Source organism: Homo sapiens, chromosome 10 (assembly GCF_000001405.40).
Source record: "Homo sapiens chromosome 10, GRCh38.p14 Primary Assembly".
In the NCBI taxonomy this organism is placed as follows: Eukaryota; Metazoa; Chordata; class Mammalia; order Primates; family Hominidae; genus Homo; species Homo sapiens.
Window position 1 is genome coordinate 71,798,905 of NC_000010.11, and position 23,515 is coordinate 71,822,419.

General features: G+C 54.0%; 2 protein-coding genes and 1 long non-coding RNA gene across 9 annotated transcripts in view, besides 2 other annotated features; 1 reads left to right on the forward strand and 2 right to left on the reverse strand.

Moving 5' to 3' along the window:
• The window catches only part of CDH23 (cadherin related 23), a 419,028-nt gene extending 401,985 nt beyond the window's left edge, over positions 1-17,043 (forward strand). For 2 of the 5 annotated variants that reach the window (NM_022124.6, NM_001171933.1), the window contains 20 exons: positions 207-376; positions 588-725; positions 1,732-1,851; positions 3,994-4,171; positions 4,305-4,516; positions 6,902-7,093; positions 7,264-7,377; positions 8,373-8,502; positions 8,612-8,863; positions 8,942-9,103; positions 10,916-11,172; positions 11,568-11,665; positions 12,411-12,531; positions 12,607-12,686; positions 12,809-12,849; positions 13,051-13,111; positions 13,576-13,705; positions 13,864-13,986; positions 14,340-14,444; positions 16,048-17,043. In NM_022124.6, coding sequence (NP_071407.4) covers positions 207-376; positions 588-725; positions 1,732-1,851; positions 3,994-4,171; positions 4,305-4,516; positions 6,902-7,093; positions 7,264-7,377; positions 8,373-8,502; positions 8,612-8,863; positions 8,942-9,103; positions 10,916-11,172; positions 11,568-11,665; positions 12,411-12,531; positions 12,607-12,686; positions 12,809-12,849; positions 13,051-13,111; positions 13,576-13,705; positions 13,864-13,986; positions 14,340-14,444; positions 16,048-16,374 — 3,011 coding nt within the window. In that variant the 3' untranslated portion in view covers positions 16,375-17,043. Of the gene's footprint in view, positions 1-206; positions 377-587; positions 726-1,731; positions 1,852-3,993; positions 4,172-4,304; positions 4,517-6,901; positions 7,094-7,263; positions 7,378-8,372; positions 8,503-8,611; positions 8,864-8,941; positions 9,104-10,915; positions 11,173-11,567; positions 11,666-12,410; positions 12,532-12,606; positions 12,687-12,808; positions 12,850-12,978; positions 13,459-13,575; positions 13,706-13,863; positions 13,987-14,339; positions 14,445-16,047 lie in introns of those variants that run through there. The other 3 variants (NM_001171934.1, NM_001171935.1, NM_001171936.1) reach the window with 3 other exon arrangements.
• Positions 6,928-7,222: an enhancer, noted in NCBI's record as "tiled region #2121; K562 Activating DNase unmatched - State 4:PromP". NCBI's record gives its function as "activates a minimal TATA promoter and a strong SV40 promoter by Sharpr-MPRA in K562 cells {active_cell/tissue: K562}" and the evidence as "EXISTENCE:reporter gene assay evidence [ECO:0000049][PMID:27701403]".
• Positions 10,240-13,854, reverse strand: LOC124902446 (uncharacterized). Its single transcript, XR_007062185.1, has 2 exons — positions 12,588-13,854; positions 10,240-11,721 (listed from the first exon to the last, which is right to left on the reverse strand). It is a non-coding gene; the product is annotated as an uncharacterized LOC124902446 (long non-coding RNA).
• Positions 12,159-12,661: an enhancer, noted in NCBI's record as "H3K4me1 hESC enhancer chr10:73570820-73571322 (GRCh37/hg19 assembly coordinates)". NCBI's record gives its function as "activates a minimal SCP1, AML or CMV promoter by ChIP-STARR-seq in primed H9 embryonic stem cells {active_cell/tissue: H9 hESC(primed)}" and the evidence as "EXISTENCE:reporter gene assay evidence [ECO:0000049][PMID:30033119]".
• Positions 17,394-23,515, reverse strand: part of PSAP (prosaposin) — a 34,954-nt gene continuing 28,832 nt past the window's right edge. For all 3 annotated transcript variants that reach the window (NM_002778.4, NM_001042466.3, NM_001042465.3), the window contains 7 exons: positions 22,972-23,103; positions 21,336-21,431; positions 20,810-20,996; positions 20,561-20,718; positions 20,127-20,207; positions 19,713-19,820; positions 17,394-18,572 (listed from right to left, as the gene is read on the reverse strand). In NM_002778.4, the coding sequence (NP_002769.1) occupies positions 18,537-18,572; positions 19,713-19,820; positions 20,127-20,207; positions 20,561-20,718; positions 20,810-20,996; positions 21,336-21,431; positions 22,972-23,103 (798 nt within the window). In that variant the 3' untranslated portion in view covers positions 17,394-18,536. The remainder of the gene's footprint in view (positions 18,573-19,712; positions 19,821-20,126; positions 20,208-20,560; positions 20,719-20,809; positions 20,997-21,335; positions 21,432-22,971; positions 23,104-23,515) is intronic.

The window sequence follows — 23,515 nt, forward strand, 5'->3', positions numbered from 1 at the left end:
TGGGAGAAGCTTTTTCACCCTCCATAAGAAAAACTGGACACCAGTCCCTCCCTGCCGTGTGCCCTGCAACTGGGTGGTGCTGCCTGACCACCCTCCTTCAAGTGACCACAGCTGCCCCTCGGAGTCCAGGTCTTTCTCCTCATACTTTGGAGAGCTGCCATGAATGAGGAGTGGCCAAAATGGCAGTGGGAGCCTCTGTGTCTTAGGGAAGGTCATTGCCAACCGGACAGTGGACTACGAGGAGGTGCACTGGCTCAACTTTACCGTGAGGGCCTCAGACAACGGGTCCCCGCCCCGGGCAGCTGAGATCCCTGTCTACCTGGAAATCGTGGACATCAATGACAACAACCCCATCTTTGACCAGCCCTCCTACCAGGTGGGTGGCCAGGCCACAGGCTGGGTCCAGGACCTGCGCCCATTCCTTGGGGTCTTTGGGCATCTTCCTCTCCCACCCTGCCAGCCTCTAAGCCCCCTGGGAGTGCCCAGCCCACGAGCAGCTTGATGCCTGCATCAGTGAGTTCTAGGGCTGTGCTCGGGCTCTGGGACTGACCTTGGCCTACTCTCTCTCCCTGCCCCCTGGGCTCCAGGAGGCTGTCTTTGAGGATGTGCCTGTGGGCACAATCATCCTGACAGTCACTGCCACTGATGCTGACTCAGGCAACTTTGCACTCATTGAGTACAGCCTTGGAGATGGAGAGAGCAAGTTTGCCATCAACCCCACCACGGTGAGCAGTGATGGAGGGCCTGGAATTTGGAAGTGGGAAGGACCCAGGGTCAGAGACTGAGCAGCCACCAAAAGTATTGTAGTAATCCCTCTGGGTCTTGTCGCCTGGACATCTGCATCCCCAGAGGTTCTTTAGCCAAGTCAGCAAACCCTGTTCTCAGAGTCCCAGACATTTGGTAGACTGTGGCCTTTCTGTCTCAACAGATGTTTAAGGAAGTGGCCAAGTCTTTTGGAATGAGCCCTTTGTGGGACAACATCTGAGATGTGTCCTCTCCACACTAAAAAAGCATGATTGAAGTCCATGGGGCTTCTTTTTGAGACAGTCAGAAAAGAAGCAGGGGAAGCACTGCAGAAAGTGGGCACAGTGTCTGAGCACCTACTGTATACATGGCCCTATACTCAGTGCTGGGGAAGGGAGGATGCCCCAAAGGGTGCCTCCCACACATTTCCTTGAATCTCAGACTTGTGGAAGACCAGAAATTCAGGAGAAAAGATGGGTGATGATTTCAAATGTCTGCTAATTGGTTCAAAGCTGTTATTTTCAGTATAGAGAGAGAGCCCTGTGGCCTAGGTCTGGTTGGTCAGGCAGGGCCTTCCCCAGTTGCTGGGGCTGGAACTGGACTTTGCCTCCCACTGCCCTGCTCTGTCCACATCTTCTGGCACTCTGCCCTTTCAGCGGGGTTCACTCCTTCCTGCTTGGTATGAGCCATCAGACATGGCTCCAGGCCTGGCATTAAGACAACTGCATATTTATGGGGTGCCTACTATATGCTAGTTCCTGGTCAGGCAGGTAGCTCCAGGCTGGGCTGGTCACCCCATCCCCAGGTAGGTTGGGGTAGTGAGAGCAAGAAGAGCCCCTAGAATGGGAGCTTGCTGGGGGCAGAGGTTATTGTCTCTTTTGTTCAGTGTCAAATCTCCAGAGCCCATAACAGCATCTGGCCATAGTAGGTGCTCAATAAATATCTTTTGAATGATTGAAGGACCTAAAGCCACCCTCCCCCTACTAGGGTGACATCTATGTGCTGTCTTCTCTGGACCGGGAGAAGAAGGACCACTATATCCTGACTGCCTTGGCCAAAGACAACCCTGGGGATGTAGCCAGCAACCGTCGCGAAAATTCAGTGCAGGTGAGGGGTGCCAACCTGGGCCAGGGATGACAGGGACTGGGGTTGTGGAGGCAACAAGCAAAGCCTCTAGCAAGTGGACTGCTGCAGACTGGGAGCAGAGCCCCCCGGTCCCCTTTGAGACACAGTGACAGAAAGGAGAAGGCAAGAGGGTAACTGGATGGGTTACAATGGCTGTGGCTTAGGAAGACAGGGACCCTCTGGGAGAAATCTTTGCCAAACTGCTATTTGGCAAAATATTTTGGCAAATAGGCAGCTAAACATACCTGGGTGTAACCCAAATAATGCCTGGGGCTCCACATGGCCCAGTATCACCATAGTGTCCCATTGAAAGAAACACAGTCCAGAAACCAAACATAATTATAAAGGAATCATCTTTATTTATGTCTCTCTCTCTCTTTTTTTTTTTTTTTTTTTTTTGAGATGGAGTTTCACTCTTGTTGCCCAGGCTGGAGTGCAATGGCGTGATCCGGCTCACCACAACCTCCACCTCCCAGGTTCAAGCAATTCTCCTGCCTCAGCCTCCCAAGTAGCTGGGATTACAGGCATGCGCTACCACACCCGGCTAATTTTGTATTTTCAGTAGAGACGGGGTTTCTCCATGTTGGTCGGGCTGGTCTCGAACTCCCGACCTCAGGTGATTCGCCCACCTCGGCCTCCCAAAGTGCTGGGATTATAGATGTGAGCCACCGAGCCCGGCCTATTTATGTCTCTTAAAGAATACTAATGAGGGCTCCAAGTCATAACCCCATTCTCATTCCAGTGTCCACGCAGCTGTTCTGAGGCCAGCATCTCACCCTCTCAGCTCTCAATCCCCTTTTCTATGCAAAGTCCCAGGCCTCAAGGTTTTGCTTCCTCTTTCTCTCTCCTCCCTTCTGTCTTTGGCAGGCCTATCTTTCTGTATGCAGTACTCACTTCTCCCTCACAATAATCTCATCATCCAAAGGAAACTCTCTTGAAAGGTCGGGGGTGTGAACAGCTGAATGGGCCAAGACCACTTCTCTTTGGCAGGTAGAGAGAAAGGGCTGGGAACACATGCACATATCCAAACCTCATCCCTGTCACACATGCATGTGCTGTGTTGGGAAAAACACAGCATTTGGGGCCAGAAGACTCAAGTTCCATGAGCTGAGCACACTGCCTTTGTCAGTCAACCTCTCTGAGCCTCCATTGTCAAATCTGCAAAGGAGGGTGCAGATGTGCAATTGGGGACATGAGGTGGTTTGAAAGTGCTCTGTGCACTGAAAGGGGATCTTTAAAGTCACGGCTGCTGGCCGGAGCATGGTGGCTCATGCCTGTAATCCCAGCACTTTGGGAGGCCGAGGCGGGGGGATCACCTGAGGTTAGGAGTTCAAGACCAGCCTGGCCAACATGGTGAAAACCCATCTCTACTAGAAATACAAAAATTAGCCAGGCATGGTGGTGTTTGCCTGTAATCCCAGCTACTTGGGAGGCTGAGGCAGGAGAATCATTTGAACCCAGGAGGTGGAGGTTGCAGTGAGCCGAGATTGCGCCATTGCACTCCAGCCTGGGCAACAAGAGCGAAACTCCATCGAAGAAAATAAAATGAAGTCACTGCTGTCAAGGGCTCTGAAGAGGATGCAGTTCAGGCAGCTCCCAGCAGCCAGGGAACAAAGGTCCCATGGTTTGCTGTGTCTGTAAGACCTGCCCTGGGCTGGGGGGTCAGCCAGGGAAGCCAAGTCTCCGGCCAGACACAAATCGCAGTCAAGAGAACCTTGGGGAATGGAGGAATGCCACCAATCCAGCACTAAGGGATAGAGATTAGAGCCAGATTTATAGGGCCCTGTGGGGAGCAGCAAGGAATAAAGTAGGAGGTGTGAGGGGATAAGGGGTTTCTGCTTCAGGGCCCAGGTGCAGATTACCTGTTAACCACTGTTCTAGTTGTTGAGTGTTTACTTGAGCCACGCACTGTGCCAAGGATCTAGGATTGTGCAACCAAGGTAACTGAGGCTCAGGGGGTTAAATAAGTTGCTTCAAGTCAGACTCCAACACATTAGAAGACATTACCTCCCTCCCAGGCTGGTGCCTGTCCTTCCTCTATCCAGGCTTACTCCTGCATGACCAGGTCCGCTGAGGCTGCCCCATCCTGCTCCTTACCTTTGGCCTTGACCTCCATCCACCCAGGTGGTGATCCAAGTGCTGGATGTCAATGACTGCCGGCCACAGTTCTCCAAGCCCCAGTTCAGCACAAGCGTGTATGAGAATGAGCCGGCGGGCACCTCGGTCATCACCATGATGGCCACTGACCAGGATGAAGGTCCCAATGGAGAGTTGACCTACTCACTTGAGGGCCCTGGCGTGGGTATGTGGCCTTCCTTGGACACCCATGATGTCTTGGGGGGTGGGAGGGGGAGGCCTGCCAGCCCAGGCCAGGAGTAGAGGGAAGCGTGGGAAGGATGTCTCAACCAGAGCTACTCTCCTGCTCCCACTGCCAGAGGCCTTCCATGTGGACATGGACTCGGGCTTGGTGACCACACAGCGGCCACTGCAGTCCTACGAGAAGTTCAGTCTGACCGTGGTGGCCACAGATGGTGGAGAGCCCCCACTCTGGGGCACCACCATGCTCCTGGTGGAGGTCATCGACGTCAATGACAACCGCCCTGTCTTTGTGCGCCCACCCAACGGCACCATCCTCCACATCAGAGAGGTACTCCTGCCCCGAGGGCCTCCTGCCCACCAGTATTTCCTTCTTCCAGCTGTGGCCTAGAAGAGTGGAAGCACCCCACTCTAAAGGTGGGGAAACTTGGCTTCAGGAAAGTAGCTCCAGGAAAAAAAAAACTTTTTTAATTAAATAAAAGTTTGTAAAGGTGGGAAAACTGAGGCCGGAGAAGGAAGCAGACCTGCCCAGTGCCACACAGGGCAGTATTGAACAGTGGTTACTATATGGGCTGTGCTAGTAAAAGATCTTTGGTTTGGCCAGGTGCAGTGGCTCACACCTATAATCCCAGCACTTTGGGAGGCCAAGGCAGGTGGAACATTTGAGGTCAGGAGTTCGAGACCAGCCTGGCCAACATAGTGAAACCCGATCTCTACTAAAAATGCAAAAAAAAAAAAAAAAAAAAAAGGCTGGGCATGGTGGTGCATGCCTGTAATCCCAGCTACTCGGGAGGCTGACGCAGGATAATCGCTTGAACCCGGGAGACGGAGGTTGCAGTGAGCCAAGATCACACCACTACACTCCAGCCCGGGCAACAGAGTGAGACTTTGTCAAAAAAAAAAAAAAAAAAAATCTTTAGTTGAAGTCTAACTCTATCGCTTATCAGCCCAACGACTTTGAGCAAGTGACTTCTGTAAGTCTGTTTTCTGTACGTCTATTTTTTCCTCTGCAAAACAGGACTAATAAGTAAATACTCCATCTCTTGCTCCTAGATGTCTACCAAAAAGGACAGACTCCTCTACAACCCACTTCCCCCATACTTGTCTCAGAATAAACACACACGCCCCTTCCATCTGTCTGTTGTTCCTGCTGATACAGTGTGGAGACAGCCTAGGAGCTGAGGCTGAGCATCAAAATAAGAAATGAGGGGAAGTGGCAAGGTTCTGGAATCTCTCCAGGTCTTCCACTTCTCGGTCTAAATTGCCATATAAAGATAGGGGAAGTATTCCTTTGTCTTCTGCTCTCCCCCTTTCTTCTAAGCACACAGGCCCAAAGTGCTCCGTAGTGGCACCATCAGAATGTCTCCCACTTGTTCTTTGTCCCCCAAACTCCACCCAGGCTCCACATCTCAGAATGTCCATGCTAAGTCCATCATGTCACTCTGTCTCCTCTTTGAGGTCCTGCGGGAGAAAACTCTCCCAAGGCTAAGCTCAAAGAAGCGTTGTGCCTTTACCAGGTGCTTTGCTTTTTTACCTTGTGTCTAGTGTCTCATCGGCAGTGATTGAGCAGTCGGTCCTCTTTGCTCTGCTTTGCTCTTTCAGAGTGATCAGGATATCTCGAGTGACCCTGCAGGGACAGGGCTTACACCTTGCTTCCCACCCCTCAGCTTTCATCTTCCTGACCAATTTTTTTCTTTACTCTAGTTTTTTAACTTGATCAATCTTGTTATAATTTATGTATTCTTGTCCCCTGCATTAAATCTCTTTTGTGGAATGAGGCAGGGTACAAATTAATAATAATCTAGTCCTTTTTCACACCAAAAGCCCCATTTATGAACACTTTCCCTTCAAGGGCTTTGCATTTGGAAAGATTTATGTCTCCTGAACAATCAGCATGTATTAATTATCTATATGTCGTCCTACTTGTTATTAATTAGACGTAACTGCCATTTAGAACTTTCAGTTGTCATGATCCATGAGATAAACAATGAAACCATGCTGAGCTGATCATTTTTCAACTAAAAGCAAAGAAACGTGCCCTTTCTTTTTCCCTGGGCAGCCTTGTCATGGGTCAATGTATGATTTCAATGAGGTTTCGAGATCTTGGACTTAGCTCAACAGCGTTCAGGAGACTGAGGCTCAGGGAAGTGAGGTGGCAAGTCCAGGTTCCAGGCAGGTTAGTAACAGACTAGACCCTGATGGCCAACCCCTATCCTATCCACCATGTCACCCTGCCTGTGTCCCCCCCATTTTCAGGTACCCCATTGGATGGATGGTGTTGTTTGGGGACACCCAGAATTCCTGTGTTTGGGGTAGCAGAGAGAGCAAGACTGATACAGGACGAAGGGTGGCTGTGGCCTCAGCACTTAGATCCCCTCTGTCCCCAAAACCTCAGCATGCAATGAATGGGACTGGAAGGGCGGAGGCAGCTCCTGGGAAGATGGTCACCCTGGGAAGGCTTGAAGCATGTGGTTCTCAGGCTGGACTGTCAGTGCAATGGCCTTAGCTTGGGTTGGGGAGGAGAGAAGAGGGACAACAGCTAGCAGAAGCCCAGAATCCAGGAGAATCCAGCCGAGCAGGCAGGCGCTCCTGGCGGGTGCTGTAAGCTGTTGAGGACATTCTGCTACGGCAGGAGAAAGAGCAAGGGCTCCCTCAGGACCTAGGAGCTGAGATTCTTTCAGGGGTCCAGGAGCCTTCCTCCCCATGCTCCCCACAGGAGATCCCGCTGCGCTCCAACGTGTACGAGGTCTACGCCACGGACAAGGATGAGGGCCTCAACGGGGCGGTGCGCTACAGCTTCCTGAAGACTGCGGGCAACCGGGACTGGGAGTTCTTCATCATCGACCCAATCAGCGGCCTCATCCAGACTGCTCAGCGCCTGGACCGCGAGTCGCAGGCGGTGTACAGCGTAAGGGCGGGGCCCGGTGCGAGGGGCGGGGTCTGGGGCGGGGCTTTCTTCTGGGGGCGGGTCTTGCACCTCGCCTCCTGGAAAGTCCCTAGGGGAACTGGCCACCGGGAAGTCCCCAAGCCAATCCCCTCTCCCAGTCTTTTCCTCTGACTGTGCTCTTCCGCTCCTAGCTCATCTTGGTGGCCAGCGACCTGGGCCAGCCAGTGCCATACGAGACTATGCAGCCGCTGCAGGTGGCCCTGGAGGACATCGATGACAACGAACCCCTTTTCGTGAGGCCTCCAGTGAGCTTGCCCACCTCCTGCGCTGGTCACACCCACACAGGGACTCACCTGCCTGCAAGCACACACTCTCCTATATACACTGTGCCAGAATACACATTTGGCTAGACACGGAAACATGTCTGCATGCACTTCATGCAAGAACAACTATTTATTGAGCAGCTGTGTTACACTATATTGAGCTATATTGAGCGCTGAAAAAAAAAAAGGCAGACCAAAATGCCTGACTCATGGAGCTGATAGCCCTGTCTTTGCCTGCACACACACATACACACACACAAAGCATGAAAATCAGCTCTGATTTTTTTTTTTTTTTTTTGAGACAGAGTCTCGCTCCGTTGCCGAGGCTGGAGTGCAGTGGCATGACCTTGACTCACTGCAACCTCCACCCGGGTTCAAGTGATTCTTCTGCCTCAGCCTCCCAAGTAGCTGGGATTACAGGCACCCGCCACCATGCCCAGCTAATTTTTGTATTTCTAGTAGAGACGGGTTTTTGCCATGTTGGCCAGGCTGGTCTCAAACTCCTGCCTTGGCCTCCCAAAATGCTGAGACTACAGGCATAAGCCACTACGCCCCGCCCAGCTCTGATTTATTGATATAGGGCTGACATGAAATCTGACAGCAAGGCTGAGGGCCCCTCCTGTGGACTCCAACTCTGACATGGTTGTTTTTTCTTCTTGTGTGCACATGGGATGTGATGTTCCTTGGCGACTGCTGAGTGTGAGTGCATACACATGCATGTGCATATAAGAGTAACGTGTGTGCTTCTCTCACTTAAGCACTCATTTGGGTTCTGGGCAACACTCCGTGAGGGCAGAGCTCAGGTCCGCGGGCCATGCTTTGCTCCCTTGAGGTTACAACGGTTCTACTCACCCCATAAGGCCTGGACAGTAAACTCCCTCAGCACCTACAAAGTCACTGCCCAGGGCCCTGAAACAGGGACTGGAAGCTCGGGTCTTCCCTTGGCCCCATGTGATGACATCCCCCTCCCTCTGCAGAAAGGCAGCCCCCAGTACCAGCTGCTGACAGTGCCTGAGCACTCACCACGCGGCACCCTCGTGGGCAACGTGACAGGCGCAGTGGATGCAGATGAGGGCCCCAACGCGATCGTGTACTACTTCATCGCAGGTGGGGCCAGACAGAGCTAGTGCCCTGATTACCCTGGGGCTAGAGATGACCCACATATGCCCTGCTCCTGGCCCTGCCCCCTCACCCTGTGCCATGATCCCACCCTCAGCCGGCAACGAAGAGAAGAACTTCCATCTGCAGCCCGATGGGTGTCTGCTGGTGCTGCGGGACCTGGACCGGGAGCGAGAAGCCATCTTCTCCTTCATCGTCAAGGCCTCCAGCAATCGCAGCTGGACACCTCCCCGTGGACCCTCCCCAACCCTCGACCTGGTTGCTGACCTCACACTGCAGGAGGTGCGCGTTGTGCTAGAGGACATCAACGACCAGCCACCACGCTTCACCAAGGCTGAGTACACTGCAGGTGCAGGGACTGGAGCCTGGGCACGAGGTGTGGGGTGGCCCCTGCCCTGCCACTTACACCACCTGCCTCTTCCTGCAGGGGTGGCCACCGACGCCAAGGTGGGCTCAGAGTTGATCCAGGTGCTGGCCCTGGATGCAGACATTGGCAACAACAGCCTTGTCTTCTACAGCATTCTGGCCATCCACTACTTCCGGGCCCTTGCCAACGACTCTGAAGATGTGGGCCAGGTCTTCACCATGGGTAGGGCCTGGCAGCACATGAGTGGCCTCTAGCCATGACCTCTCAGTCACTGCATGGACTGTCATCTGGGGGGAGATGGGGTCTGTGGGAGCACCACAGGATATGGGTGGCCCCCCAGCCAGCCACACCAATCCTATTCATCCACCTATTCAGCAATCCGTTCTCCAGTGTATCCACCTATCCACCTCTTCATCTACCCACCAGCCCTTTCTTTTCATTCTCTCTTCTTTTCAACTCATCTATCCATTAGTTATCCGTCCATCCATGTATCCACACTTCTGGCTGTCCATCTATCCTTCCATCCATCTGTCCATCCCTCATTTTATCCTTCCATCCGTCCATCTGTCTCTTCCATCCATCCTTTCTTCCATCTGTCCATCCATCCTGCTTTCATTCATCTGTCCACCTACCCATCTTCCCACTCTCCCTCCCATAATATCTGCCTGTTTTTTCAGTTGCGCACATCGCCTTCCCCTATGTCAGGCATTGTGTTAGGACTGGGGCACCAGGATTCAAAGCTCACACTTATATCTATGGATGTGCATGTTTGCTTGTGCACTGACCTGTGTGGATGGCTGAGACCCTCTGGGTCAGGCTCTAGAAGATGCCCCTGTGGGTGTCCCATTACCTTACTCCCAGCCCCAACCCCTTCCCCCTTCTTCTCCATCTAAAGGCTCCTCCTCTGTATGCCTCGTCTGTGGCCTGGCATTCAAGGCTCACTAGATCTTCCTCCTAATCCCTCTTTCTGTTCCACAGTCACCTGCTATCCTTAAGGGCCCTGTGCCCAGCCTAGCTAAGCTGCTTAGCATCCCCACGGCCTGCTCTCTCCCATTCTCCCCTGGCCTTTGACCCCTCTGCCTTCATTGCCTGGAATGCCATTTTGACCCCTTCTTTGCCTTCGGATATCCCTCCGCCACCCTTCAAGGTCTAGTTCATGTGCCACCTCATCCAGTTACACAAGCAGACACCATCCCTTTGTCCTCTGAGCTCTCACTGCTCTTATTTTAATAAATCAAGGCACATAGAGGCTCAGTAGCTTGCTTGAGGTCACGCAGCTAGAAAGTGACAAATTTTGAGCCCAATCTATTGTCTTTTAAGAGAAGACTATGCTGTACCACCTGACCATCTCTCTTCTATGGGTTTTGTTGTTTTCTTTTTCCTTTTTTTTTTTTTTTTTTTTTTTTGGTGATAGACTCTCACTCTGTTTGTTGCCCAGGCTGGAATGCAGTGGTGCAATCTCAGCTCACTGCAGCCTCTGCCTCCTGGATTCAAGTGATTCTCCTGCCTCAGCCTGCCAAGTAGCTGGGATTAGGTGCATGCACCACCATGCCTGGCTAGATTTTGTATTTTTAGTACAGATGGGGTTTCATCATGTTGGCCAGGCTAGTCTCAAACTCCTGGCCTCAAGTGATCTGCCCGCCTCAGCCTCCCAAAGTGTTGAGATTCAGGCGTGAGCCACCACACCCGGGCTTATTTGTGGAATTCTGAGGTACATGTGTTTGAAAGAGAGAGGAGAAACAGACAGACACTCAGGGGGCTCAGAAATGGTCCTTCGCACCCTAGCATGGGACAACAGAGTCACAAACTTGTCATCCGCACTCCCCTGTGATGATAACCGGCTGAGACCCGAGCCATTTCCACTTCAGATGGGCATCGTTCCCACTTGCCTGTCACCTTTGCTCCCTGCTGTGCCCTGTGGGCATTTGTGCCGCCTCCCCTAGATGTGCCCACCTACCCCAGGGCTCATGCCCCTTCCTGGGGATTCGGGGCACTGAGTCTCTGAGCCGTACCCCGCCTTTGGGCTTCCTGCAGGGAGCATGGACGGCATTCTGCGCACCTTCGACCTCTTCATGGCCTACAGCCCCGGCTACTTCGTGGTGGACATTGTGGCCCGAGACCTGGCAGGCCACAACGACACGGCCATCATCGGCATCTACATCCTGAGGGACGACCAGCGCGTCAAGATCGTCATTAACGAGATCCCCGACCGTGTGCGCGGCTTCGAGGAGGAGTTCATCCACCTGCTCTCCAACATCACTGGGGCCATTGTCAATACTGACAATGTGCAGGTGCCTCATGGGCCCACCCGGGGCCGGGGCAGTGGAGGGAGAAGGAAGGGGAGGCCAGGCCACAAGGAGAGACAGGGCATTGTGCAAAGGCCAGGGCGTGAAAGGCAGTATAGTCCCTACTTAGTCATTTCCTATCAGTGCAGCTTTGATAAAGTTCTCCCAGGTCTCTGGGCCTCAGTTTCCTCTTCCATAAAATGGGGCCAATAATAAATAGTACCTGGCCAAGTGTGGATGAAGTGATTGGCACCGTGCCTGGTCCTCAGCAAACATTCAAACATTCAGTAGTGAAGGGTCTATTTGCAGGGAAGGGCAGAAGGGGTTCCTAAAAGAGGCCTGCCCATCCCTGTGGCCCCCTGCTGTGGTGGCCACACCCTACAATACCCCTTCTCATCTAGTTCCATGTGGACAAGAAGGGCCGGGTGAACTTTGCGCAGACAGAACTGCTTATCCACGTGGTGAACCGCGATACCAACCGCATCCTGGACGTGGACCGGTGAGTCGGGGCCTGTGTTTGGACTGTCAGCCTGTCTGTCTGCCTGCCTCCCTGCCCTGGAGTAGGGGAGGGGACACACCAAAGGAGACACAGACCACACCATCAGGCCCACTGTGTGGGGCCATCTCCCAGACTGGGGCAGGGCTAGGAGAGAGAGCAGAGTTTGGGGGTATGAGCAACTCTGTCCCTCTGAGCCTCCCTCTCCCCATCTGTAACATGGGAGTATTCAGGCCATGCGCAGTGGCTCACACCTGTAATCCCAGCACTTTGGGAGGCCAAGCCAGGTGGATCACCTGAGGTCAGGAGCTCAAGACCAGCCTGACCAACATGGAGAAACCTCGTCTCTACTAAAAATACAAATATTAGTTGGCATGGTGGCACACACCTGTAATCCCAGCTACTCAGGAGGCTGAGGCAGGAGAATCGCTTGAACCTGGCAGGTGGAGTTTGCAGTGGGCTGAGATCATGCCACACTGCACTCCAGCCTGGGCAACAGAGCAAGACTCCATCTCAAAAAAAAAAAAAAAAAAAAAAGGGAGTATTCCATCCACTGTAAGGATGGAACAGGATCCTACATGAAGGTTCGAGGAACCTTGTAAAACACAAAGCTGTCCCAGCCGGTGGACCTCAATCTTGCAAGGCTTGGGGTTGTTGAACTTTGGAGGCTTGAGGCAGGAGCAGAGCAGACTGTCGGTGGTGGGGGAATGGCTGAGGAGGAGAGCTGAGACCCCTGCCCCTCGCCCAGGGTGATCCAGATGATCGATGAGAACAAGGAGCAGCTACGGAATCTTTTCCGGAACTACAACGTCCTGGACGTGCAGCCTGCCATCTCTGTCCGGCTGCCGGATGACATGTCTGCCCTGCAGGTACCCGGCGACCGTGCCCCACAGCCCTAGCCGCCCTCCCCACTGCCCGGGCTTACCCTGGTCCTGCTCCCGCAGATGGCGATCATCGTCCTGGCTATCCTCCTGTTCCTGGCCGCCATGCTCTTTGTCCTCATGAACTGGTACTACAGGACTGTGTGAGTGTCCCCCACCCCTGCCATCAGGGGGCCGACCACCTGCTCCCGGATGGCCACGAGGCAGGCAGGGCCTGAGACGTCAGCTTGGCCCCCCTCACCAGCCCCTCTCTGCTTCTCTCCAGACACAAGAGGAAGCTCAAGGCCATTGTGGCTGGCTCAGCTGGTAAGTGAGGGCCATAGTGGGGACACAGGTGAGAAGGCAGTGGGCTGGGGACCTGGAGTGCCCACCGGAGCCACAAGCCTGGCTCAGGCCCTTCACTGGGCCCAGGACCATGCCCCGCACCCCATCCTCCCTCACCCCCCAACACCACCCCTACCCCTGGCTATGCCCCTCCCCTCCATGCCCCAACCCTTCTCCCTGCAGGGAATCGTGGCTTCATCGACATCATGGACATGCCTAACACCAACAAGTACTCCTTTGATGGGTGAGTGGGGTACTGGCCCTGCCCGGTCCCCTGCGGGGAGTCCTGCCAGGACCCAGCTGGGGAGAGCTGCAGTCTCCCAGCGCTGGGGCTGCCGAAACCCAGGCTGTGGGCGCCCCCTGGTGGGCGGGCCACCCTCCCTTCACCCTCCCTCCACCCTCAGAAACCACGTGGCTGACAGGGGCTCTCCACCCCAGTGGGCCTCAAGTTCCAGGGGATGCAGACTTTGGGCAGTGGGTGCAGGGTGAAGCCTCTGCACCAAAGGCAATCCAGACTGACATGCGGTCCTGGTTCCAGCAGGATCCTATGGTGGGAGCATGCACCACAGGCACCAGGGCCTCACACCCCAAGTCAGTGAAAGGCACTATATGGCCAGGGAAATGGGCAGGATGTGGGGTGAGGCTGGAAGGGCACCTGTCTACTCGAGCCTTCCCTCCCTCCCCACCCTTTTCCCTCCCCAACTGCAGAGCCAACCCTGTGTGGCTGGATCCCTTCTGTCGGAACCTGGAGCTGGCCGCCCAGGCGGAGCATGAGGATGACCTACCGGAGAACCTGAGTGAGATCGCCGACCTGTGGAACAGCCCCACGCGCACCCATGTGAGCCAGAGGCGGTCAGGCATCACAAGGGGCAGGGGTGGAGGGGCTGGGTCTTTGCAACCTCTGGCCAAGAAGCTGGGTTCTTTAAGGGGTGGCCCCCTCCCTTGTACATGTGTGTGGGGTCTGCCTCTGCTCCAGCTAACATCCCCTCTCCCCAGGGAACTTTTGGGCGTGAGCCAGCAGCTGTCAAGCCTGATGATGACCGATACCTGCGGGCTGCCATCCAGGAGTATGACAACATTGCCAAGCTGGGCCAGATCATTCGTGAGGGGCCAATCAAGGTGAGCCTTCCCTGCAGGCTCCGCGCCCAGTCCCTTGGCTGAGGTTGGACCCCACTCCAGAGAACACAGGGTGGTAGAGACCTCCAGGCTCAGCTAGACCCACCCTCCACTGGGGCGAGAACACCAGGGCTGATGGGGGGCTACTCCAGCCTGCGGTGGCCTTAAGGGCAGGGCTCAGGAGTGAGTCCACCTGTGTCCAGGCTGGCCACTGTCTCCAGGCTCTGCCGCTGATCCTCTGCCCTAGGATCACCAGGATCAGATGTCCGTGTACCCCTTACTCCCAGAGGGAGTGGGCGAGGGGCGGGGCAGGCAGGGGAGGGCCTTGGTGGGGGTTAACCCTTTCCCTCCCCCAGGGCTCGCTGCTGAAGGTGGTCCTGGAGGATTACCTGCGGCTCAAAAAGCTCTTTGCACAGCGGATGGTGCAAAAAGCCTCCTCCTGCCACTCCTCCATCTCTGAGGTAGCCGGCTGGGTGGCTGGGAGCTGTGTGCTGTGCCCCAGCCTGGGGATGCTCTCTGTCTCTTGCTGTCCTGCTGTCCTTCTCTATGTCTCTGGAGCTCTGCAGCCAGGACCAAAGACAGCAATGGGTGGGGGCCAGGAAGTCAGACAGCAGGATCTGCTTTCTGGGCTTTTGGGGGCTTTCACAGGAATGGGGTAGTCTCTAAGGCAGTCTTTCTCTGATTAGAGGAAGACCTCAAGAACATACCTTTGGGGGTGATGTCACTTTAAGAAACCCGGCTGGGTGCGGTGGTTCACACCTGTAATCCCAGCACTTTGGGAGGCTGAGGTGGGAGGATCAATTGAGGCCAGGAGTTCGAGACCAGTCTGGCCAACGTGGCGAAACCCCATCTGTACTAAAAATACAAAAAATTAGCCGGGCCTGGTGGCGGACGCCTATAATCCCAGCTACTCAGGGGGCTGAGGCAGGAGAATTGCTGGAACCCAGGAGGCGGAGGTTGAAGTGAACCAAGACCATGCCACTGCACTCCATTGGGTGACAGAGTGAGACTTGTCTCAAAAAAAAAGGAAAGAAAAGAAACTGGCCGTCAGGGTCAAATAGGCCTACATATGTTTGCCTGTAATGATTATGTCAACACTTACAAAAGTCAGGCTTTACCTAAAAACGAATCTCCAGCTGGGCCCATATTCTCAACAGGAATAAGCTAGTCGAATAGCCTCATACAGGAGGACAACAGTGCCAGTTTCAAGTCTCCACCCCACCTATTTATCCTCTGCAGCTTGTCCTATTGACACTTTCTGCCTGGACACAATTAGAGGTGATCTGCTTGAGGCCAATTTGGCAACAAACCCAGATACCACAGTTGCATCCCAGGATGTTTATAGAGCACCAAAGTTAATACATAAAATTAAAGATTCTCAGCCAGATGTGGTGGCACACGCCCATAGTCCCAGCTACTCAGGAAACTGAAATGGGAGGATCACTTGAGCCCAGGAGTCCGAGGCTGCACTGAGCTTTGATTACGTTGCTGCATTCCAGCCTGGGCAACAGAGAGAAACCCTGTCTCTAAATAAATAAAGGGCAGGTGCGGTGGCTCACACTTGTAATCCCAGCACTTTGGGAGGCTGAGGCTGGTGGATCATCTGAGGTCAGGAGTTCCAGACCAGCCTGGCCAACATGGCGTGCCTGTAATCCCACCTACGTGGGAGGCTGAGGCCGGAGAATCACTTGAAGTCAGGAGGTGGAGATTGCAGTGAGCCAAAATCGCGCCACTGCGAGACTCTGTCTACACACACATACACACACACACACACAATTTTCACAAGAAGCCGATACACACACACACAATTTTCACAAGAAGCCGATACACACACACACACACACACACAGATTTTCACAAGAAGCCAATCCTCCCAAGAACCCATCTGCAGCAACTTAAGCATTCATGATTCCCCTTTGCAGGCAGTTTGAGAAACAGAGTCTGACAGGCCTGCTGCGGTAGGAGCCCAAGGTTCAGCCACATAGCCAGTGGGTCTCTGGGGCCATCCACCTGCTCACCCCTTGGGCATGGCCCTGAGCATGTGGGGGTCCCGGCCTCTTGCAGCTGATACAGACTGAGCTGGACGAGGAGCCAGGAGACCACAGCCCAGGGCAGGGTAGCCTGCGCTTCCGCCACAAGCCACCAGTGGAGCTCAAGGGGCCCGATGGGATCCATGTGGTGCACGGCAGCACGGGCACGCTGCTGGCCACCGACCTCAACAGCCTGCCCGAGGAAGACCAGAAGGGCCTGGGCCGCTCGCTGGAGACGCTGACCGCTGCCGAGGCCACTGCCTTCGAGCGCAACGCCCGCACAGAATCCGCCAAATCCACACCCCTGCACAAACTTCGCGACGTGATCATGGAGACCCCCCTGGAGATCACAGAGCTGTGACTAGACAGGGAAGCCTTGTGGGTGTGAGCAGCACCCATCCACCGTCCCCTCCCAGGGAGCAAGGGCAGGGACAGGGCCGGTCGGGGGGGACCCTCCAAGGCCAGGCCTTGGGGACAACCTTGGCTTGGCCCTGGCAGCCCGCATCAGCTGCTCAGATCCCACTTTTGCCAGACGCTCATTCAGCATCTGACCTCTACCTTCATAAGATCTGTTATTTTTATAAGAAAACCAAACAAAAATGTTAAGCATCTAAGGACAAGGTAAGGAGGGTCACTGGGGCCCAAGAGTCTGGGGACCAGCTTGGCTCAGGCTGAGCTGAAAGAGGCCAAACAGGCCCTCCTCCCTCCCAGCTCCACCCCGCAAGCACCATCCCCTCCGGCTAAGCAGGCGCAAGGGAGGCCCAGCGCGGACATCCCCTGCTGGCCGGACACCCGACTCCAGTCCAAGTCTCGCTACATTTCCGCCACATCCCTCTCTGCTGGACGTCCAGGTGGAGGTGGCATCCCCACGTGGACAAGAAAGTCAATGTCAATGAACAAGCATTCTCTCCATTTCACTGGCTTCCCAAATGTGTGCCCAGCTTATAAACAGAAGTGACTGATGTTCCCTCCGGTTTTGAATGTGGAGTGTTTGTGTGTGTTCCTTTTTTAAATTAAGTTATTCCCTCAATAGTTTCCCCTTGGTTTTGTTTAACTGGTACTCACTACAAGTTTCTGGAATGGTTTGTTTAAAAATCAAGGCAACTCTCAAGGAACTGGCAACGTGCTCTGACTCTGGCCTCTAGGGAGCAGGGACAGGGGCAGGTGAAGAGCAGAGCCGACCTTCAGGTGCGCCTGACCTACTGCTGGCCCTGAGTCTTGGGGAGGATGAGGTGGGATCTTCCTTTATCCACTTTGCTTTCATTCTCTGGCCAAGATGGGTCATGGGAGTGCTGGGCCCCAAAGGTGTCATGGGCTCAGAGCTCATCAGAGAGGAACAAACTCTTCCAGCTGAAGGGTCACAGAAACATTAGGCCCAGATCTGGCTAACAGAATTTTATTGTTAAATCACAGAAACTTTAGTGCAAAACAAAAATCACGAAGTCCATTTAATAGCAACTTCATGTCCTGCTGGCTTTGCTTGCTGTCTCCTGGCAACCAGAAGTGGACAGAAGCGTGGGTGCCCAAGTGGGCCACAGACAGCTTCCAACCCCCACACCCCAGCATCCAATCCACACCCAGCAGACCCTTCGGCATGCCGCCCTCTACCAGGAAGCCAGAGGCCTAGGAGCTCGCCATCCATATTTATTTGAAAAGGTCAAAAGGAGCATCTATGAGACAAGGGAGGGGTGCAGGCTGAAGCAGCGCCTCAACAGCCAGGGACATGTAGGCAACACGAGCAGGCACAGCGCGGCCACCACTGTCCACACGCTCACACAAGCCAGGCCCGCAGGGCCTTCGGAGAGCTAGCAGGTTACATTCAGGCAGATGGCCCTCTTCCCACCCAAACCCACAGAACCCCAAACAAGGCATCACCAGGAAAGACACGGGAAAGCCAAATCACAGTTGAACCAGGGACAGAGAACCCTTGGCCCCACTGATGTCCCAAGCCACCAGCAGCTGCTTCCAAAATCCCTATGCTATTACAGTGGGAATTACATCATTTAAAAAGCCTGATTATTCCAGGCTTCTAATCTTTCATATAAAACTGCCTTTGTTTTGCTGCTTTGTTCAACTGAGAGGCCCAGGAAAGCGGGGAGGGTCCCTGATCAGGGCAGGAGGCCACCTCAGAAGCCCAGGCCCACCAGTGCCCAAGCACATGTCAGGGCTCAGAACAAGGCCTCAACCAAGAGGGTTGATGGCCTCCAGTCAAGAAACTGTGGCTCATGCCAGCAGAGCTCTCTCCTCCTCCAGCAGGCGCCATGCAAGGGCAGGCTAAAAGACCTCCAGTGCATCAACATCCATCTAGCAGAGAGAAAAGGGGCACTGAAGCAGCTATGTCTGCCAGGGGCTAGGGGCTCCCTTGCAGACAGCAATGCTACAATAAAGGACACAGAAATGGGGGAGGTGGGGGAGCCCTATTTTTATAACAAAGTCAAACAGATCTGTGCGTTCATTCCCCCAGACACACAAGTAGAAAAAAACCAATGCTGTGGTTTCTGCCAAGATGGAATATTCCTCCTCCTAGTTCCACACATGGCGTTTGCAATGCTCGACAGCCTGGTAGGAGAGAGGAAGCTGAGTTTAGTCTTCGGATGAAAAACTCCGTTCCCGGCCCATCAATGTATCAGATATCACCCCAAAACAGGACCTGTTCTCTTGTCCTAGGTCAGCTGGATGGCACCAGATGCTGAAGACCCAGGACAGGATCTCACTTAAAAACAGGGAACACGTGGCCATCAGAGTTTTGGGAACTTCTAAGGCACGAGTCCAGAGCAGCAGATGCCTGCAGCAGTTTGCAGATGAGTACCCACGCAGGCAGGGCTCAGGACCCTTCATCTACCTGCACCCGGCACCCAGCGTCCTGCTAGCAGCCTGCACACTAACTCCCAGGCAGAACCTCCTTGCCTGAGTTAGGCTACACACCAGCTCGGGCCTTGAGAAGCAGGCCCACATTTCCCCAGGACAGCAGCAGAACCAGCTGTGGGGTGGGGCTGGCGGTGGAGATGGGCTGGAGCCTAGCTGGAGGAAAGAGCTGGACATGGCCAGAATGGGGGCCCCCTGCCCCTCCCTGCAGTGGTCCGAAATGACACAACCGCCACTGACATGGTCACAGGGAAGCCCGGTGAGGAAGGAAAAGTTGCACAAAGCAACATTAAGTAACAGGGACCGAACCAAACATCCCCACCCAGGGAAGCAGCACAAGTCACCCAACTGGTGGCTGCCAGGCCAGGCCAGGGCCACAGTGCCCTAGGGCTGCTGGGCAGGGGCCAGTTCTCAGGGCCTTGAGTGAGGACTCGGGCCCGGCTTCAGCAAGGGCAAACATGTTCCCGGGGGACAGGACCTGGGCAAAGCTCTGGGCAATGAATCCCACAGACCTTGTACAATCCCTGGAGTGACCTTGTACAAGTCTGACACTGTCACAAGGGAAATGAAGACAAAAGCAACAAAGCAGAAGCAAAAAAATACTAAAAAAAATAAATAAATAAAATCCACCCCACCCTTCACTACAAGAGTGTAGTTCACCCTGTCTTTTCTAGGGGACCATGAGTAAGCCTAACCACCTCTCTGGGCCTCAGCTTTCTGATAACATAAAAGCAGGGTGGAGAGTTGATCACTGGGTTCCCATTAAAGCAGGATTCTCACACAGGCTACCCCAGGGCAAGACAGGCTGGTGACACTGTCTGCTGAGCTACTCACATTGCACTGGGCTGCTGTCTCTGTGTTCTGGCACCAGTAGCTTGGGCCCCATATACACTTCTCAGTTCCCAACAAGGGCTTATGGGCCGAGGGGCAGGCTCCAATTTTCTATATGGTGAGAAAAGGAAAGAAGAAAGGGGGAGAATGAGAGCTGCCCGATGTATCGCTTTCAAAACTAAGAAAACAGTTTCCAGAAGGAGCTAGGATCACAGCTCCACCACGCTCTTTCAGAACATCAGGGTTGCTGAGGAAAGCGATGGGGCTTGGGGGGCTGGCTCCCTACCTTCTTGGCTCTCCCGCAGCAGAACCCAGAGACTCCACCCCACGGCCAAGTCTCAGAGCAACCCTTCCGGGTCTCTGCAGCCCCCCAGGTTACAGCTGCCCGAGAGGACCACACCACCCAGTGAGGCTCACCAAGCACACGAAGGAAGGATCCATCACCTCCACCAGGATCTCGATCAGCACGGGCTCGTACTCTGCCACAAACTGATCACACTATAAAGGAAAGTGGGGACACAGGTCCAGCTCTGGGGGTGTCCGAGCATAGTGGGGCACAAAAGGCCAGGCAGGCCCTGGATACACTGTTCCCTGAGAGCTCCTGGCATTCCCAGCCCACTGGGTCCTGGGGCCTCCCTTTCCAGACACCCTATCTACATTTGGCCTCTCTACTTCAGGTTGCTTCCCCCAGTGGCTCATCTTAAGCCAACAAATCACCTCCAAGTAAAACTTCATTGGACTCCATGCCCGGAGGCAGAAACAGCTGGTTTTCCATCAAAATGTACCCCAGCCTTGGCATACTTCATCAGGTTCTGCCATGCTGGCCTACCGCAGCCCAGCCCGGGGCGTACCTGCTTCTGGTAAGGGTCTGGCAGGAAGCTGCAGCCTTTCTCAAGAGCAGCCAGGATCTCCTGCTTGGTGCTGTTTTTCTCCAGGTTGCGATCCAAATAACCCACCAGCTTCTTGCACACTTCGCAGAAGCCACCGTCCTTTGGCTGAGTCACGTGAACTACATAAGAGGGCAGCGGGCTCAACGCTGGCAGGGCCCTCCCAGACCCAAGAGGGGCACCATCCTCTCCCGCACCACACCCAGCGCTCACCGGTCAGTGCAGGCAGCCGCGTGCCAGAGCAGAGGTGCAGCATGCTGCACACCAGCTCAGGGCTGACCTCCTCCAGCAGGATGGACAGGATGGAGCTGCCGTACGTGTCCACCACCTCCTGGCACTCTTCCGACAGGGACTTCGGCAGCTTCGAGCACATTTTGTCAAAAGCGTCGAGTATTTCTTTCTGAAACACACGAGAGGATCGTGTGAGAAGACGGGAGGCCGGACAAGGGTTGGGGGACATTCTGAAAATACTAACATGGCCAGGAAATGAGTCAATGGTGGGTGCCGTTTCCACCCACAAAAAACTACCAAACTACAAAGCAGGGCAATGGTGTCCACCTCCCCGGACCCCCGCCAGCCTAGAGGTCCCACTGGTGAGGATTGCCTTCCACGAGATGGGGACATGGCTGTACACATGTCAAGGCTGGGCCAAGCCCTCTCTCCTGTGGGACTTTCCCACTGGGACATTCAGGCTCGGGGGGGCAGGAGAGGCCCTCCCTCTGCCAGGAGGACAGCATACCTCAGTCTTGTTGTTGTCAATCAGCTTGGTCACCTCCTTCACCAGGAATTCACACACCTCACAGTAAACATCAGACTTTGCTGGGACCTCGTGCTTCTGTGGAAAGAGTAGAAGGAGAGTACTTTCAATGCTGGGACTCACAGCCCTTGGTCTTGCTCCCCTAAAGGAAAGGGGACACAGAGACCAGGGTGGGTTAGCACATCAAGGGCCACTGCCTCCTGAATTCCAAATGGCGTGTGGCTTCTAATATCCAAGTTAATTCCCTATTTTTACATTCACCCCCTTCCCCAATCCTCTACCACCCCCACCTCCCCCTAACCCCACCAAAACAAAACCCAGGAATTCACAGTTCAGGAGACAGAAAGTCCCTTCCCCACCCCGAAGAGCTGTCCTGATGATGTGTTCGGTTACAATCATTTCATCATTCAGGGTTCATTTTGGGGAGGAGGATGAAGGACCAAAAGCAAAGTGAGGGGCTCACTATCGGTCCACTATCTAGAAGACAGAATGTTGAACACACTTCAGGTCTGCTCGTGTGTCTCCCATGTCTCATTAGCACTTGAGAATGCTCTTCTGGAACCCACCTTTAATAAGGCAATACTGTTACAGAGGATGTTCTGTGGCAATGGAAATGTTCTCTATCTCTGCTGTCCACTATAAGCTCCAGCTACCTGTGCACTGAGCACCTGCAATGTGGCTGGTGTAGCCAAGGGGCTGAATTTTTAATTTTGCTCCATGGTATTTCATTAAAATTTAAGTAGTCACATGTGGTTGGAGTGCGAGCTATAACTCTTCACTTTCTCTGGCCGTCACTTTGGTCAGCAGGCTGGAGCTGAGGAGCACCCGGTGGAGAGGAAGGCAAGAAGCAGTGCTTCCTGGATTCCAGCTGACACTTCGGCCTGGCCCCTGGGTCACACACTCTGCACATGCAGAGAGGAGACAGCAGAGAGAGACCAACAGCTGGCAGTCAAGTGCCGTGGGATGTTCTAGAACAAGAAGCGTGTACATGTGCCACGTGTTAAGGCATCACACAGCCCAGGCCTTGAAGAACTAGAATGTAAGCCCCACGGGCACAATGACATCATCTGTTCACCACAGCCCCTAACATGCTGCCTGACCCATAATAAATGCCAAATACAAATTTATTATGGGATGAAGTAGTCTAATCTTCACCAAGTGAGGTGTTTTAGTTAAATAAAATAGACACCCACATGTACTTAGTATACAGGCTGCAGGCCCAGTGAGGCTTCCGTACACTCTGAGGGGTGTGCTGGGAACATCCAGTCTGTCAGGGCCACAGGATGGGGAAGGACCCAGACAGTGCATGTGAGAAGGTGAGGCTGAAGCCAGGCACTGCAAAGTCACCTTTGAATGGCATGCTGAAAATACACAGGCTAATGATCCCACGAACATTAGGGTTTACAACCAAGGAAATAAAATGTTTTCAAAAGAACTCAGGGTCGGGGGCTGCATTAGTATAGGGGATAGGATAAACCAGTGATCACAAACTCAAAGACCTTTAGGAGCCAGGCAGGGAACCGAAAGAAACAAGTGACTCGTAAGATGTGATGTGACACAGCAGGGAGTAGTGTGGCATTGCACAGCCCTGACCAGGACACAAAGTGACACCAGGTACCTTAATGGGCTCCACCAGTTCCAGGGCAGGGATGACATTCTTGGAGGCCACTTTGGCGGGGACCAGAGTCTGCATGGGCATCTCTTTCACCTCATCACAGAACCCAACCAGCGCACAGATCTCCTTGGGTTGCTGAAGAGAGCACAGAACAACCAGTCAGCAGCAAGCCTACGCCCACTGCTCCTCAGTCCCAATCCAGCCAGAGGACAGGGAGCTGGACAGCACCCTGGGCCCAGGTCAAGGCTACCTCCCTCTCCCCCTCCCACAACGGGGCAGATTCCAGTTTCCATGTTAAAGGGCTCGTGTCTGAAGCAGTGCATATGTGCCAGTTACATCTCGGGGAGGAGACCACACAAAGCTCCTAAGGAACATCAAACAGAGTCTCCATCCAGGGCCACCACGAGGGAGACTCCCCAGCACCTTCCACATCTCCAAGGACACCTGGTCTGTTCTAGAATGTGTCTTTTCAGGTCACTCTAGGTAGGAACTAAGCTATGCTTTTTTCTAGAGGGGGAACTACCATGCCCATAAACTAACAGAAAGC